Source organism: Homo sapiens, chromosome 11 (assembly GCF_000001405.40).
Source record: "Homo sapiens chromosome 11, GRCh38.p14 Primary Assembly".
NCBI classification, from domain to species: Eukaryota; Metazoa; Chordata; class Mammalia; order Primates; family Hominidae; genus Homo; species Homo sapiens.
Genome location: NC_000011.10, coordinates 66,641,109 through 66,654,659, shown reverse-complemented (window position 1 = coordinate 66,654,659; position 13,551 = coordinate 66,641,109). Strand labels below are relative to the sequence as shown.

General features: G+C 44.6%; 2 protein-coding genes across 5 annotated transcripts in view, besides 2 other annotated features; both read right to left on the bottom strand.

Annotated features, from left to right (window-relative positions):
- The window catches only part of RBM4 (RNA binding motif protein 4), a 29,678-nt gene that overhangs the window by 13,721 nt on the left and 2,406 nt on the right, over window positions 1–13,551 (bottom strand). The window contains exons 3-4 of one of the 3 annotated variants that reach the window (NM_002896.4): window positions 10,520–11,210; window positions 8,192–8,633 (exon numbers count right to left, since the gene is read on the bottom strand). The exons of 1 other annotated variant lie outside the window; for it this stretch is intronic. In NM_002896.4, coding sequence (NP_002887.2) covers window positions 10,528–11,210 — 683 coding nt within the window. In that variant the 3' untranslated portion in view covers window positions 8,192–8,633; window positions 10,520–10,527. Of the gene's footprint in view, window positions 1–8,191; window positions 8,634–10,519; window positions 11,211–13,551 lie in introns of those variants that run through there. One more of the 3 variants, NM_001198843.2, reaches the window with a different exon arrangement.
- Window positions 5,126–5,326: a silencer, noted in NCBI's record as "peak1306 fragment used in MPRA reporter construct". NCBI's record gives its function as "represses an SCP1 promoter by STARR-seq MPRAs in K562 erythroleukemia cells {active_cell/tissue: K562}" and the evidence as "EXISTENCE:reporter gene assay evidence [ECO:0000049][PMID:32103011]".
- RBM14-RBM4 (RBM14-RBM4 readthrough) overlaps window positions 8,192–13,551 on the bottom strand; it is a 29,839-nt gene continuing 24,479 nt past the window's right edge. Inside the window, exons 2-3 of one of the 2 annotated variants that reach the window (NM_001198845.2) lie at window positions 10,520–11,210; window positions 8,192–8,633 (exon numbers count right to left, since the gene is read on the bottom strand). In NM_001198845.2, the coding sequence (NP_001185774.1) occupies window positions 10,528–11,210 (683 nt within the window). In that variant the 3' untranslated portion in view covers window positions 8,192–8,633; window positions 10,520–10,527. The remainder of the gene's footprint in view (window positions 8,634–10,519; window positions 11,211–13,551) is intronic. The other variant, NM_001198846.2, reaches the window with a different exon arrangement.
- Window positions 10,853–11,376: an enhancer, noted in NCBI's record as "H3K4me1 hESC enhancer chr11:66410755-66411278 (GRCh37/hg19 assembly coordinates)". NCBI's record gives its function as "activates a minimal SCP1, AML or CMV promoter by ChIP-STARR-seq in naive H9 embryonic stem cells {active_cell/tissue: H9 hESC(naive)}" and the evidence as "EXISTENCE:reporter gene assay evidence [ECO:0000049][PMID:30033119]".

The following is a 13,551-nucleotide window of genomic DNA, read 5'->3' as shown; positions in this document are numbered from 1 at the left end:
CGTGGTGGTGCGTGCCTGTAGTCCCAGCTACCCAGGAGGCTGAGGCGAGAGGATAGCTTCAGCCTGGGAGATCAAGATTGCAGTCAGACATGTTTGCACCACAGCACTCCAGCCTAGAGGACAAAGTGAGACCTTGTCTCAAAAATAAAAAAAATTTTTTTTTTGAGATGGAGTCTCACTCTGTCACCCAGGCCGGACTGCAGTGGCACTATCTCGACTCGCTGCAAGCTCTGCCTCCCGGGTTCACGCCATTCTCCTGTCTCAGCCTCCCGAATAGCTGGGACTACAGGCGCCCGCCACCACGCCCAGCTAATTTTTTTTTTTGTATTTTTAGTAGAGACAGGGTTTCACCATGTTAGCCAGGATGGTCTCGATTTCCTGACCTCATGATCCGCCCGCCTCAGCCTCCCAAAGTGCTGGGATTACAGGTGTGAGCCACCACGCCCGGCCAAAAATAAAATTCTTCTAATAGTAGGATTTGGTGGCATATGCCTGTAGTCCTAAGTACTTGGGAGGCTGAGACGGGAGGATCATTTGGGCCTGCGAGCTACGGCTGCAGTGAGATAGATAACACCATGGCACTCTAGCCTGGATGACAGAGCAAGACCTTGTCTCTAAAATAAGTAATATTTTTAGAGAGGGTCTTGCTGTTGTCCATGCTGGACTTGAACTCCTGGGCTGCTCAAGCGATCCTTGCACCTCGGCCTTCCAAGTACCTGAGACTACAGGTGCATGCCATTGTGCCCTGCTTATTTTTTGCCTTTTTAATTGAGGCATATATTCAAAGTGTGAGTCCCTATCCTGGGCGACAGAGCAGGACTCTGTCTCAGAAAAAAAAAAGAAAAAAAAAAAGAGAAAAAAGAAAACCCATGTATAATTTTTGACTTCCCAAAACTTAGTAGCCTGCTGTTGACTGGAAGCCTTACAGGTCATATGTCAATTAACATATTTTGTGTGTTATATGTATACTGTATTCTTACAATAAAAGCTAAAGAAAAGGTTGGGCGCGGTGGGTCACACCTGTAATCCCAACACTTTGGGAGGCCAAGGCAGGTGGATCACCTGAGGTCAAGAGTTCGAGAACAGCCTCACCAATATGGTGAAACCCTGTCTCTACTAAAAATACAAAAGTAAGCTGGGCGTGGTGGCATGTGCCTATAGTCCCAGCTACTCGGAAGGCTGAGACAGGAGATTTGCTTGGACCCAAGAAGCAGAGGTTGCAGTGAGCCGAGATCGCATCACTGCACTCCAGCCTGGGTGACAAAGCAAGACTCCCTCTCAAAAAAAAAAAAAAAAATCATTAAGTAGAAGTGAATCATCATAAAGGTGTTCATCCTGATAGTATTCATGTTGAGTAGGCTGAGGAAAAGTAGGAGGAGGGGTTGGTCTGGCTGTCTCAGGGGCGGCAGAGGCAGAAGAAAATCCATGTATTAGTGAACCTGCACAGTTCAAACCCTTGTTGTTCAATGGTCAACTGTACAAAGGAAGCCCCAAACTCAGTTTGGTGTCAATCTTCCTTACGTTGTGAAACTGAGAAGTCCCATCTTGTTGCATATCTGAATACAAACAATTCTGATGTTGGACAGAGGAACTCAAACCAGCAGGCACACACAACCCTCAATGGAACCACCAGCTCCCAGTGGACAGAGTACTCAGCCTCCCTGTTAGTTGTGACAACTTAAGACAAAAATGAGAGCAGTAATACAATGCTCAATTCACTCATCACTAGCTACGTACTTTCTCCTTTGGTGTCTTGTCTCCTTAAGGGACAGGAAGCACCATCCCTGTTTTGGTGGGGGTGCGGGTGGGGTTGTATGTTTCAGACAGGTCAGGTCTCACTAGGTTGGCCAGGCTGGCCTTGGAACTCCTGTGCTCAATCTTTGCACCTCAGCCTCTGTAGTAGCTGAGACTACGACATGCGCCACCACGCCCGAAACCAACCCAATTTTGTATCTGAAGGGTGCTATTTACCTGCCATAAAGTAACACGAGTCCCTATTCCTGTCAGATTTGCATCTCATGAGAAGCTGGAAGGTTCACTCATGTTAAGCCATCATAATCTGGCTTGACAAAATAGAGTTCTTAGCATGACACAACTTAATAATGCAAGAACATGGTTTAACAAAGCAAATATTAAGGCTTCAAAAAGTCCCCTGGCCCCACCTTCCCCAGAACCCAACTGCTTTTGCCATTTTAGCTGTTTTTTACCTTTATTTCTGAATAAGATGTTCATAATCCATTTGCCACTTTTAAAAATTTCCTCATTTCAGCCAGGTGTGGTGGCTCACGCCTGTAATCCCAGCGCTTTGGGAGGCCAAGGCAGGCGGATCAAGAGGTCAGGAGATCGAGACCATCCTGGTTAACACGGTGAAACCCCGTCTCTACTAAAAATACAAAAAAATTAGCCGGGCGTGGTGGAGGGTGCCTGTAGTCCCAGCTACTTGGGAGGCTGAGGCAGGAGAATGGTGTGAACCCGGGAGGCAGAGGTTGCAGTGAGCCGAGACTGCACCACTGCGCTCCAGCCTGGGTGACCAAAAAAAAAAAATTTTTTCATTTCTATGAGTTTTGCTCTTATACGTATTACCCACCCATCGCCACTTCATCAGATTATTATTTTAATATTCAGAGCTGCTACGATCATAACTAGGTAAATATCACACACAGTTGAATCTTGCTATAGTTTTGAGTGTTTATGTCCCCCCAAAATTCATGTTAAAATCTGAATCCCCATAGTGAAAGTATTAGGTACACTTTTGAGAGGTGATTATGCCATAGAACAGAGCCCTCATCAATGGGATTTGTGCCCTTATATAAAAGAAACTCCAGAGAAATCCCTCACCCTTCCTGCCTTGCAAACTCAAGACAGAATCCAGACACCACGTCTGCCACGGCCTTGATCTCAGCTTTCCCAGCCTCCGAAACTGTGAGAAATAAAATTCTGTTGTGTATAAGCCATCCAGTCTTACGGTCTTTTGTTACAGCACCTCAAACGGACTAAAAAAATCCTCCTGTTGGCGGGGCATGGTGGCTCACGCCTGTAATCCCAGCACTTTGGGAGGCCGAGGCAGGCGGATCAAGAGGTCAGGAGATCGAGACCATCCTGGCTAACACGGTGAAACCCTGTCTCTACTAAAAATACAAAAAAATTAGCCAGGTGTGGTGGCGGGCGCCTGTAGTCCCAGTTACTCTGGATGGTGAGGCAGGAGAATGGCGTGAACCCGGGAGGTGGAGCATGCAGTGAGCCGAGATAGTGCCACTGCACTCCAACCTGGGTGACAGAGCAAGACTCCGCCTCAAAAAAAAAAAAAAAAGTACTTTCTCTTGCTACAACCTGGACTACTGTTCTCCAAATCCACTGCAGAAAGGGAGTCCTGGGACTTCCCATCACCATCATCCTGGGAATTTCCTTTACCTCAGAATGAGATCATGTGTAAGAACACACAAGTACTGAGAGCAAACTGACCTGGGTAATTTGAAACAGCACTTAATACTAGTGCCAATGATCAATGATCTCACTCTCACTACTCCATCCCCCCCCGAGTCTACTTTAGTACTGATGTGTAGCTCTAGGGTAAGGAGCCTGGTTTAATTTAGCATTCACCCAAAACAACCCCAATTTTGAGGATGCCTGGGAAACTTTTGAGACAGGATCCCACTGTCACCCAGGATGGAGTCCAGTGATGCCATCTCTGCTCACTGCAACATCCGCCCCTGGCATCAAGCAATCCTCCCATCTCAGCCTCCTGAGTAGCATGACCGGCTCATTTTTAAATTTATTATTATTATTTTACTTATTTTGAGACGGAGTCTAGCTCTGTTGCCCCGGCTGGAGTGCAGTGGCGCAATCTCAGCTCACTGCAAGCTCCACCTCCCGGGTTCATGCCATTCTCCTGCCTCAGCCTCCCAAGTAGCTGGGACTACAGGTGCCCACCACCACGCCCGGCTAACTTTTTATATTTTTAGTAGAGATGGAGTTTCACCTTGTTAGCCAGGATGGTCTTGATCTCCTGACCTCGTGATCCGCCCACCTCGGCCTCCCAAAGCGCTGGGAATACAGGCGTGGGCCACCGCGCCTGGCCTATTATTATTAAGACAGACTTTCACTCTCGTTGCCCAGGCTGGAGTTCAATGGCGCAATCTCAGCTCACTGCAACCTCCTCCTCCCAGCTTCAAGCAATTCTTCTGCCTCAGCCTCCCAAGCAGATGGGATTACAGGTGCCCACCACCATGCCCGGCTAATTTTTTGTGTTTTTAGTAGAGATGGGGTTTCCCCATGTTTGACAGGCTGGTCTTGAACTCCCGACCTCAGGTGATCTGCCTGCCTTGGCCTCCCAAAGTGCTGGGATTACAGGCGTTGAGCCACCACGCCTGGCTGGAAAACTTTAAAGGCAAAGTTAACAGGGTTAACATCAAGTTAAATTCCAAGATCACCCTGAAAACTGCCCTCACAGGTCCTTTGACCCATGCAGAATCAGGCCGAGGCACATGTCATCAATACAAAATAGTATGACCATTCCCACCCCGAACTGACTTCCAAGGACATACCAGTTATTTGTACACCCAAGGCCCAGACAAGCAGCAGCTTGTGGAGGCACAGTGAGGACAGGCACAATGCCCTATTCATCTTTGTATTCGCCACATGGTAACCTAATTGCAGGTAATCAGGGAGTACCTAGCGAAATACAAAGCCAGCTAGACATTTACTAGACAGAATGAACAGTGAAATGCTATGGGGGAAAAAAATCAGTTTATTAAAGCATTACTCTTGAAAAACTACATTTTGACCAGACGCAGTGGCTCACATATAGTCCCTGCAAAAACTCTGGGAGGCCAAGGCGGGAGGATCCCTTGAGCTCAGGAGTTCAAAGTTACAGTGAGCTACAATCATGCCACCACACTGCAGCTTGGGTGACAGAGCTGGATGTCTAAAAAACAAAAAGCAAGAAAAAGTACTTTATTATTCCTAAGGAGTGGCAGCATAACCTTGTCAATTACACAGAGCCAACTATGTGGCTTCCACTCAAAGATACACTTGATTGGAAGCATAAAAACAACTTCATAATACATTGATGTTGAAAATCAGTGAGTTATAGTCAATCTTTTCAAATCACCTCTTAAAAATAATTCGTCTTGCTCTGTCACCTAGGCTGGAGTACAGTGACACAATCAGCTCACCACAGCTTGAAACTCTTGGGCTCAAACTATCCTCCCGCTTCAGCCTCTTAGTAGCTGGAACTTCAGCTGCGTATCACCACAAAGAGCTAACTTTAAAATTGTCTTAGAAATGGGATCCTACTATGTTGCCTAGGCTGCCATTGTTCTTGATAGAGTTTTTCCTCTCAACAAGTCAATAAATAGCTTAAGGCTGGGTGTGATGGCTCATGCCTGTAATTCCAGCAATTTAGGAGGCAGGCGGATCACTTGAGTCCAGGAGTTTGAGACCAGCTTGGCCATGGTGAAACTCCATCTCTACTAAAAATACAAAAATTAGCCAGGTGTGGTGGCAGGCGCCTGTAATCCCAGCTACGCAGGAGGCTGAGGCAGGAGAATCACTTGAACACGGGAGGCAGAGGCTGCGGTGAGCCAGATCATGCCACTGCACTCCAGTCTGGGCAACAGAGAGACTCTGTCTCAAAAAACAAAAACAAAAACAAAAGCAATAAATGGTTTAAAAAAGAGAAAATGCAAAAGCATCTAGTATGAATATAGCATTAAACCAGGCCAGATTCTGAGTCATGAAAAAACTACTCTTACATTGTCTGTTACAGGGAGATCAGGATCTCAAAGCAGAAAGCAAAAATGACTTGCTCTAATAGAATCAAGAAATTAAAAAAAAAATTTTTTTTTTGAGAGAAGTCTTGCCCTTGTCCCCCAGGCTTGAGTGCAATGGCTCCATCTCAGCTTACTGCAACCTCCACCTCCCGGGTTCCAAGGATTCTCCTGCCTCTGCCTCCCAAATAGCCACAATTAAGGCGCCTGCCACCATGCCCGGCTAACTTATATTTTTCAGTAGAGATGGGGTTTCACCAAGTTGGCCAGGCTGGTCTCGAACTCCTGATCTCAGATGCTCCACCTGCCTCAGCCTCCCAAAGTGCTGGGATTACAGGTGTGAGCCACCGCGCCTGGCAAAAAGTTTTTGAGACAAATTCTTTTTTGAGACACCCAGGCTGTAGTGCAGTGGCCTGATCTTAGCTCACTGCAGCCTTGACTTTCTGGGTTCAAGTGATCCTCCCACCTCAGCCCTCTGGAGTAGCTGGGACCACAAATGCGCACCACTATGCCCAGCTAATTTTTTAATTTTTTGCAGAGACAGGGTTTCACCATGTTGCCCAGGCTGGTCTTGAACTCCTGAGCTCAAACAACCTGCTTGCCTCAGCCTCCAAAAGTGCTGGGATTACTGGCGTTGAGTCACTGCACCTGGCCAAGGACTTAAAATTTTATTTTATAAAATAATTTTTTGAGGAGTTTTGCTCATTGCCCAGGCTGGAGTGCAGTGGCGCAATCTTGGCTCACTGCAACCTCTGCCTCCTGGGTTCAAGCGATTCTCCTGCCTCAGCCTCCTGAGTAGCCGGGATTACAGGTGCGTGCCACCACACCCAGCTAATTTTTTGTATTTTTAGTAGAGACAGGGTTTTTCACCATGTTGGTCAGGATGGTCACGAACTCCTGACCTCGTGATCCACCCACCGTGGCCTCCCAAAGCGCTGAGATTACAGGCGTGAGCCACCATGACTGGCCGGAGTTAAAATTTTAACTAGTTTTGTAATGCAAAAATATATCATATCCATGTTTATCATGTCACTTCTGAAAATCCTTCACTGACCATCCCCATCTAAACAGAATTCTCTACTTGACATTTCTGCATTTTCTGCTCCCTCAGAATAGAAGCTCCAGAACCGTATGTATCGCCAACACTTAAAACACCACCTTCCAGAGTATCACTCAATAAAATATTTGTTGAATCAATGAATACTGTTAGTCTCCAATGTTTGAAATTTGCCAACCCTACCCATCAGATCAAAGGGTATACTGACAAGAGTAAAAATGGCGTTCAGTGGTGGGTCTGTCCTTTAGAGAAAAAGAAACCAAAGTTAGGTATGTACGACCCTCCAAGAGAAATGGCAGAGAACCAACCCAGCCAGGAAGGAAAAACTAAAGGAAAAACATTTGCTGGGAAGATTAAATGAGAACACGAAACACCCAGCACAGGCTTCACGTACAAAAATATTCAATAAATTACATGTTGTATAGAGCTGTTCAAATCTTGGTCATCTATGATTAGAAAGAATCTAACAGGAGGAAACAATTAATTTAAAAAAAAAATCTGAGAAACTATCGAAGTAAAGACCAGCTTCTTTATCTCCCCATCATCATAACCCAACTTCCCTGAAAGGGTAATGCCTGGCATACAGTAGGTGCTCAGTATTTGTTGAATGATTCTGAGAAATGCTCTGACACAGTCCTGTATCTGTAGAAACTGGAGCAAGAAGGTACAGACCAAACATATGGAAGACAAATAACTGTTTCAAGAAAAACGTGAGGCTGAGGCGGCAGTTCTTGCACTCAGCCCCATCATTCAACAAGGTATCTAAAGCCTCATATGTTGGGTCATTTCTCCATGCCTATGATTTAAAGGCTGTAAACCCAAGTAATGAGGTGCTAGTGGGACCATTCAGGCATTCTTTGGATTTTGGCAGAGCTAAACAAATAGATGGTGAAAGGCATCAACACATGTCACTGGCCTAGTTAGCAAAGTACTCTTGGAGCCACAGCTTCATTTTTTCACATGGCACGAAGAGCGAAAACTGACTTCCTCTTCCCCTAAACCCCTCCTTTTCCCTGGAAATTAAGTTAAGCTAGATACACTGACTGGGTGATTGGAATGGTAGTCTTAAGGGAAGGTGGTGACTGTTTCTCTAGAAGAGAAGACCTACATCTGTAAACTAAAAGTAGTTGGTTTTATAACAAAGGTGGACCAGTGGGAAAAGTCTTCATTGGAATAAGGCTGCCTGCCTGGGCTTCTGTATAACCTCCTTCCTCTGGCACCTACAAGTCCTACTTACAATAAACAAAATAACTACAGTGACGTTCACCCAAAGCTGAGTGTCTTAAAACTTTATACCCTCCCCTTCAAGGTACAAATGAACCCCCAAACAAGCCCAAGCAAGAAGTCTCGCAAAGCACACATACCCTAAGTTGAAAAACCATTTATTTCACCGGAAAGAAAAAAAGTGATCCAACTCTATAGGTCTAGCCTTTGGACCAAAAAGAGACCCTGGAGCAGTGAGACTCTCACCAAGGTCATTCCCAAATCCAACAGCCGCAGGAGGCAGGAGGCAGGGAGGAGACAGCACAGCCCCCACCACAGTTTCTGCACACAATGAGGCCTGCTGGGAGAAGAGAACATGAATGGGAAGCTACAGAAGTATTGAAGGACAGAAGAACAGGAAAATGGGCAGGAGAGGAAAGGAAAGGAAAGGAAGAGAAGGTCTGAACTTAGCAAGGTAAATTAAGGTCCACGGTTCCTGAGGGACTGAACGCACAGAGCCGAGAACGTCCCGGAGATGGGGTACCACGAAGGGTGTATTCTCATGCACAACCGCAGCTCGGAATTTCAGCCCACACACATCCCACCTGAAAGAGAGCACAATACAGCGGCTTTACAGCAAAGCTCAAAAGGGCTTTCCCATTTAAAACTTCAACATCTTTACAAAGTCTGATAACTTGACACTCCTTTTAAGTTTACTTGTACCCTTCTCCCCCAGTATCACAGTAATCTCTAACAATGAAAAGAGCTTGAAGGCCAGAGAGTAACTGGGGAGGCTAAACAACCTCAGACTAAGGTCTTAAATTAATAGCAAATCTTGTTTCATAAAAGTAGGCAAAGAGACATTCCTTGCTCTTGATGATGTTAACATTAGCATTCCTCAGAGAAGGTAATTCCACATCACAAGCTGTCAGCAGAGGATAGGAAAAATGGAAAGGTTCCAATTAGCTCCCTGAGGTTTAAAAAAAAAAAATTAACAGTATTTTCTATCTAGGAGTTACTGCCAAGGTCCGAGTTAAAAATCATTCAAAGTCTAGATAGAAGTAGCATCAACTGCACAAGTTTTAAGACCTGAGGACATCCAATTCCAACTAGGGAAGAAACTAACTTTGGAAAGAAGGTGCAGAAGGGCATGTATAAGCTACACATCAAGTCTCTTTTCCAGCCCAATCAGTGACTGCCTACCCAATGACCCTGGGAAAGCCACATACCTTCTGCCCTAACTGCAAAGATGACAGTTATCTATCACTCACACAGTTACTATAATTAAGGATCAATGGTAATGTGTGGGACATACTGGGAGCTATTCAAAACTAAGGGCATTGAGATTTACCCTTAAGTACAACAATAATCTCAAACACCTAGAGCCCAAAGCTGGCAAGTATCAGAAGAGAATATATTCAAGGAGAGCCAAATGGATCATGGGGCTCAAAATGTATGACAGTGGAAAAAGCCAGCGGACTCAGGGTAGAGCTGCTGGCTCAAGAGTATTAAATGCCCAAAACAGCTAGTGAGAAGATGAAGAAGGGAGTGATTTGCTTATGGCAAAGCTCCCAACCCTGGATTTCAACATTACCAAAGGAGTAAAATTAACAGGTGTGCCTGCATTCTTAAAACATATACCCTGAGAAAGTAGATGATGTCAAAACTAGAACTGTGGGAATAGTTACTTAAAAAAAAAAAAAACCCTAAGTAAGTGACAGGCTGGGCTGTTATAGGACAGACTGAAAGATATAGCAATGGAGTGGGCACTCTATTCAGGGAATAAATCTGAGCTGGGCAGAGAAGGTGAGTGTTAGCATCTATGCCCAGACTTCCTTGTGGAACTTTATAAAAGATAAGTTTTGTATTTCTCTCTACCCCAACTTACCATCAAATAAGTTCTATAAAACTCATAAGGGTTGAACGGTTCAGGAATGTCAGAAATACGCTTCAAGATTAAGATGATGCCATTTTGGTAGTCTTCTTAGTAACTGGGACCTGAGCAGTGATGACCAGTTAACTACAGTTATGGACTTTATCATCAGGGGTCATATCAGAACTTTCACACAGCACAAAACAGAATAGGAAACTTGAAGACCTTAGGAATGTCGCACACGTAGGAAACTTAACAAAGGCTCTAAGAAACAAAACACCTGAGCCTGAACGTGTGGGTCCCCAGGTAAGGTTCAATTATAGTATAGTACATAGGTGACCCAAGATTCACCAGCACATCATTCTTTATTTTTCTAGGCACAAATAGAATCAAATTGACTCCCACTACCAGAAGCCCTGAAAAATAGCCATGAGGGCCAAGGAACTCTATGTATTTTAAAGTTAAGCAGTTAGGACTTCTCTCTAGCCTGTGAGCCATCCTAGTAACCTTCCCCTAACCCTGCAAAAGCAAGCAAGCAAGCAGGGCAGCCTAATTGGAGCCCTTTAGGCTGCAGGAGGGATGGCAAAACCAGAAGAGGGAACACCCCACCCCTCTCACCTCAAGCTTTAAAAGGCTGAGTACCGCGCCCGATCGGCATACTGCTCCCGCTCATACCGGGCCATGTCGTACAGAGAATTCCGCGCGGCTGCTGAAGCTTGGGACAACTCACTCTCATGCCCGTAACCGTAGCCCTCTCCAACAGTGGGGACTGGGGCTGTAGCGCGACGCAGGGGGCTCCGATCCCGCCCGTAATATGAAGTGGAAGCTGCAGTAACAGCAGCAGCGGCTGCTGCTGCAGCAGCAGCTGTGGCAGCAGCTCCTGAGGTCGGCAACAGGTGTCTATCGTAGGGATCGAGAGAGGTGGAGGTGAGGTGACTGGCCATGGCTGTATTCTGGACTTGTGGCAGCTGGGACAGGGTCTGCTCTGCGTAATTATACACGGAGGCAGCTGCAGCTGCCACTGCCTCATAGGACCGGGCAGCACGGCAGCGCTTGTAGTAGGCATCGAGCGCTCCGTACGCGTTGTTGTAATACAATGAATCCCCATAGCTCATGGTGTAAGGCGTACGCACTGCTCCGTATTGCTCATTATATTGCTCGGTCAAGTCTGCCACGCGGCCTGAACGATCTATCGGACACTCTTTGGACCAGTGCCCCTCTTTCCCGCACCGATAGCAGCCGCTCTGGTCTCCCATCCCGGGCGCAGTCCTAAGCCGGCTGGTGGACAACTGCACGTGCATTCGTTTGCCTTGAAGAAACAGACGCAAGAAGGGTTGCTATCACTCTTAGTCATAGCCCCAGCCCCTACCCCAGACACTGGTCATAGCAATGGCTTTATCTAGACAATTCTAATGCAGGACTCATCTTTAGGAAAAGATAAAAAGGAAAAAAAAAAAAGACTCAACATATAGATTCAGTATAATGACCTGATTTCAGGAAAAGACCACTTAGATGAAGAAATATTTCAGCTATAACAACAGTTTAAATGCTTAAGAAATAAACTACTCTTGCTCCAATCATCTCCAAACAGGTAAAAATCATCTCCAAACAGCGGCTCAAAGTCAAAAGAAGTCAAAGTAAGAAACAGTGCCCAAGTCTTTTCTGACACCTCCAATCCTTACTAGCAAGATGGATTTTCATTAAGCAAAGGAATATAAGTAAAGGCCAGTTCTCCACCCTCCTCAAAAAATTTAAAAGAACCGAATAAAAGACTCCAATGATTACCACTATTAAAGAATGATCTAGACTCAATCCACAGCTGAATGTGGCAAGCAAATCTCAAGGTACATCTCTGGAAAAACCCTCATGAACTGGGGAGACAGAGGGGCACAACAAGTTGAAGGACAGACTTCTCCCTTAACTGGGCCCTTTAAACTGCTGGTTCTGATCATTGCTTTAACGAGGATTCTTTACAATCTGACAGTTAATTTTAGTGACCCTCTACTAGGGTCAAAGGCAAACAGGGCAAAAACAGGACAGATTGTTCTCAAATGCCTGAAATTTTAGAATACTGTAAAAAACATGGAAGAAAACGTGCCTGAGGAAAGTGGAGAATAACTAGTTATACTAGTCAGTGGACCAAACTGCTCAGTTTAAGCAGAATTAAAGTACTTCTCCTGCAACTACATATCTGAGAGCGTAACTAAGAACATACACCTAATATTTTTCCTGAAAATTAAAATTTGCATTCTGGAAATGAAAAGTATTACTTCTGAAAATGTAATAAAAGCAGAAACTTTTCTAGAAAAGTTAAAACTAAGTTTTAGTAAGTCTCTACAGAAGCAATTTCTACCTAACATGATCTACCAGCTTACTGGTAAGCAAAATTCAGAAGAGATCCAAATCCTGCAAAAACTTCCCAATGCAATTGGTTATGATGCACCTAAACATACACCTGTCAAAGGAGTAAATGGTCAAAAGCAAGGGAGAGTCAACAAATGGATCCTCTAACATTAGAGAAAGTGGTAAACACACAATTTTCCTTGCAAAATTAATGTTAGATTCTGGGAGACCAGAAAACACAATAGGGAAACGGGGGTGGAAGGAACAAAATATCAAGGAGGTCTACACAGCTGGAAGTTTAGGTTGCAGGTTATTAAAAGAGAGTAGATATGCAATTATGCACTTAAGTGCCTTAAAGTGCTAGCTTGTCTCTGGCATTTGCCCAGGGGGCCACTTTGGCACCTAACAAAACCAGAGAAAACAAGTGCAACTAAGCAAGCAACTATGCACATTCCAGACATAAAGATCATTAATAAACGCCTTAATCTAAGGATCTGTTGGTTCTAACGCCAGAAAAAGAAGTTAAATTTTAAAAAATATCTAAAAGAGATTTTAAGTGGGCAAGCAATAGAGAAGATACCCAACACTGAGAAACGGAAAGGAAAAAAGACCACCCTAATAACTACTGCTCATCAATATACATCTATAATTCTACCAGAACAGTATTAAGAAATGAGAAACGCCAATATTACATAAAATAAGGTAAAAATAACTAAGCATAGGTTAGTGTCAGGGGACCTAGGGTTCAGACACCCAGAGTTTTATATAAGGATAATTTGTCCTGAATCAAGACCACACTGTCCTCTCCTTAAACCTAACTGCTACAAGCAGACACCACCTCTTCTGACTGGGCTGAAGTGTGGGAAACAGTCCAAAAATTAGGTATCACACCATAAACCCTCCACAAGAGCAACCTTTGCTCTCAATTAAGTTGTTGACAAAATAATTCTCAACTTGCCAATTAAAAAAAAGAAAGCAAACTAGACCTGAGAGACCTGTGTCACTTTTCTTTACTAACGCACAGCAATGCCCATGACACAGGGCACCCATTACTAGGGGAAATAATGATCAGACTCTCAGCTCTAAAAAAGCCCAATTTAAGGGAAATGGACGCCAAAGGCAGCAATGACTCTTAACAAAGGTAGTACCCAGAAAAAGAATCGGCAAACTACACTGTCAGAACACAGGTTTGAAATATAGCAAGGAGTCACGGAAATACTCCATAATTTGAATAAGGCTTTTTTTATTTTTTATTATTTTTGTTCAGTCCTGCTTAATTAAGCTAAAAAAGGACACCACTCTTTTTG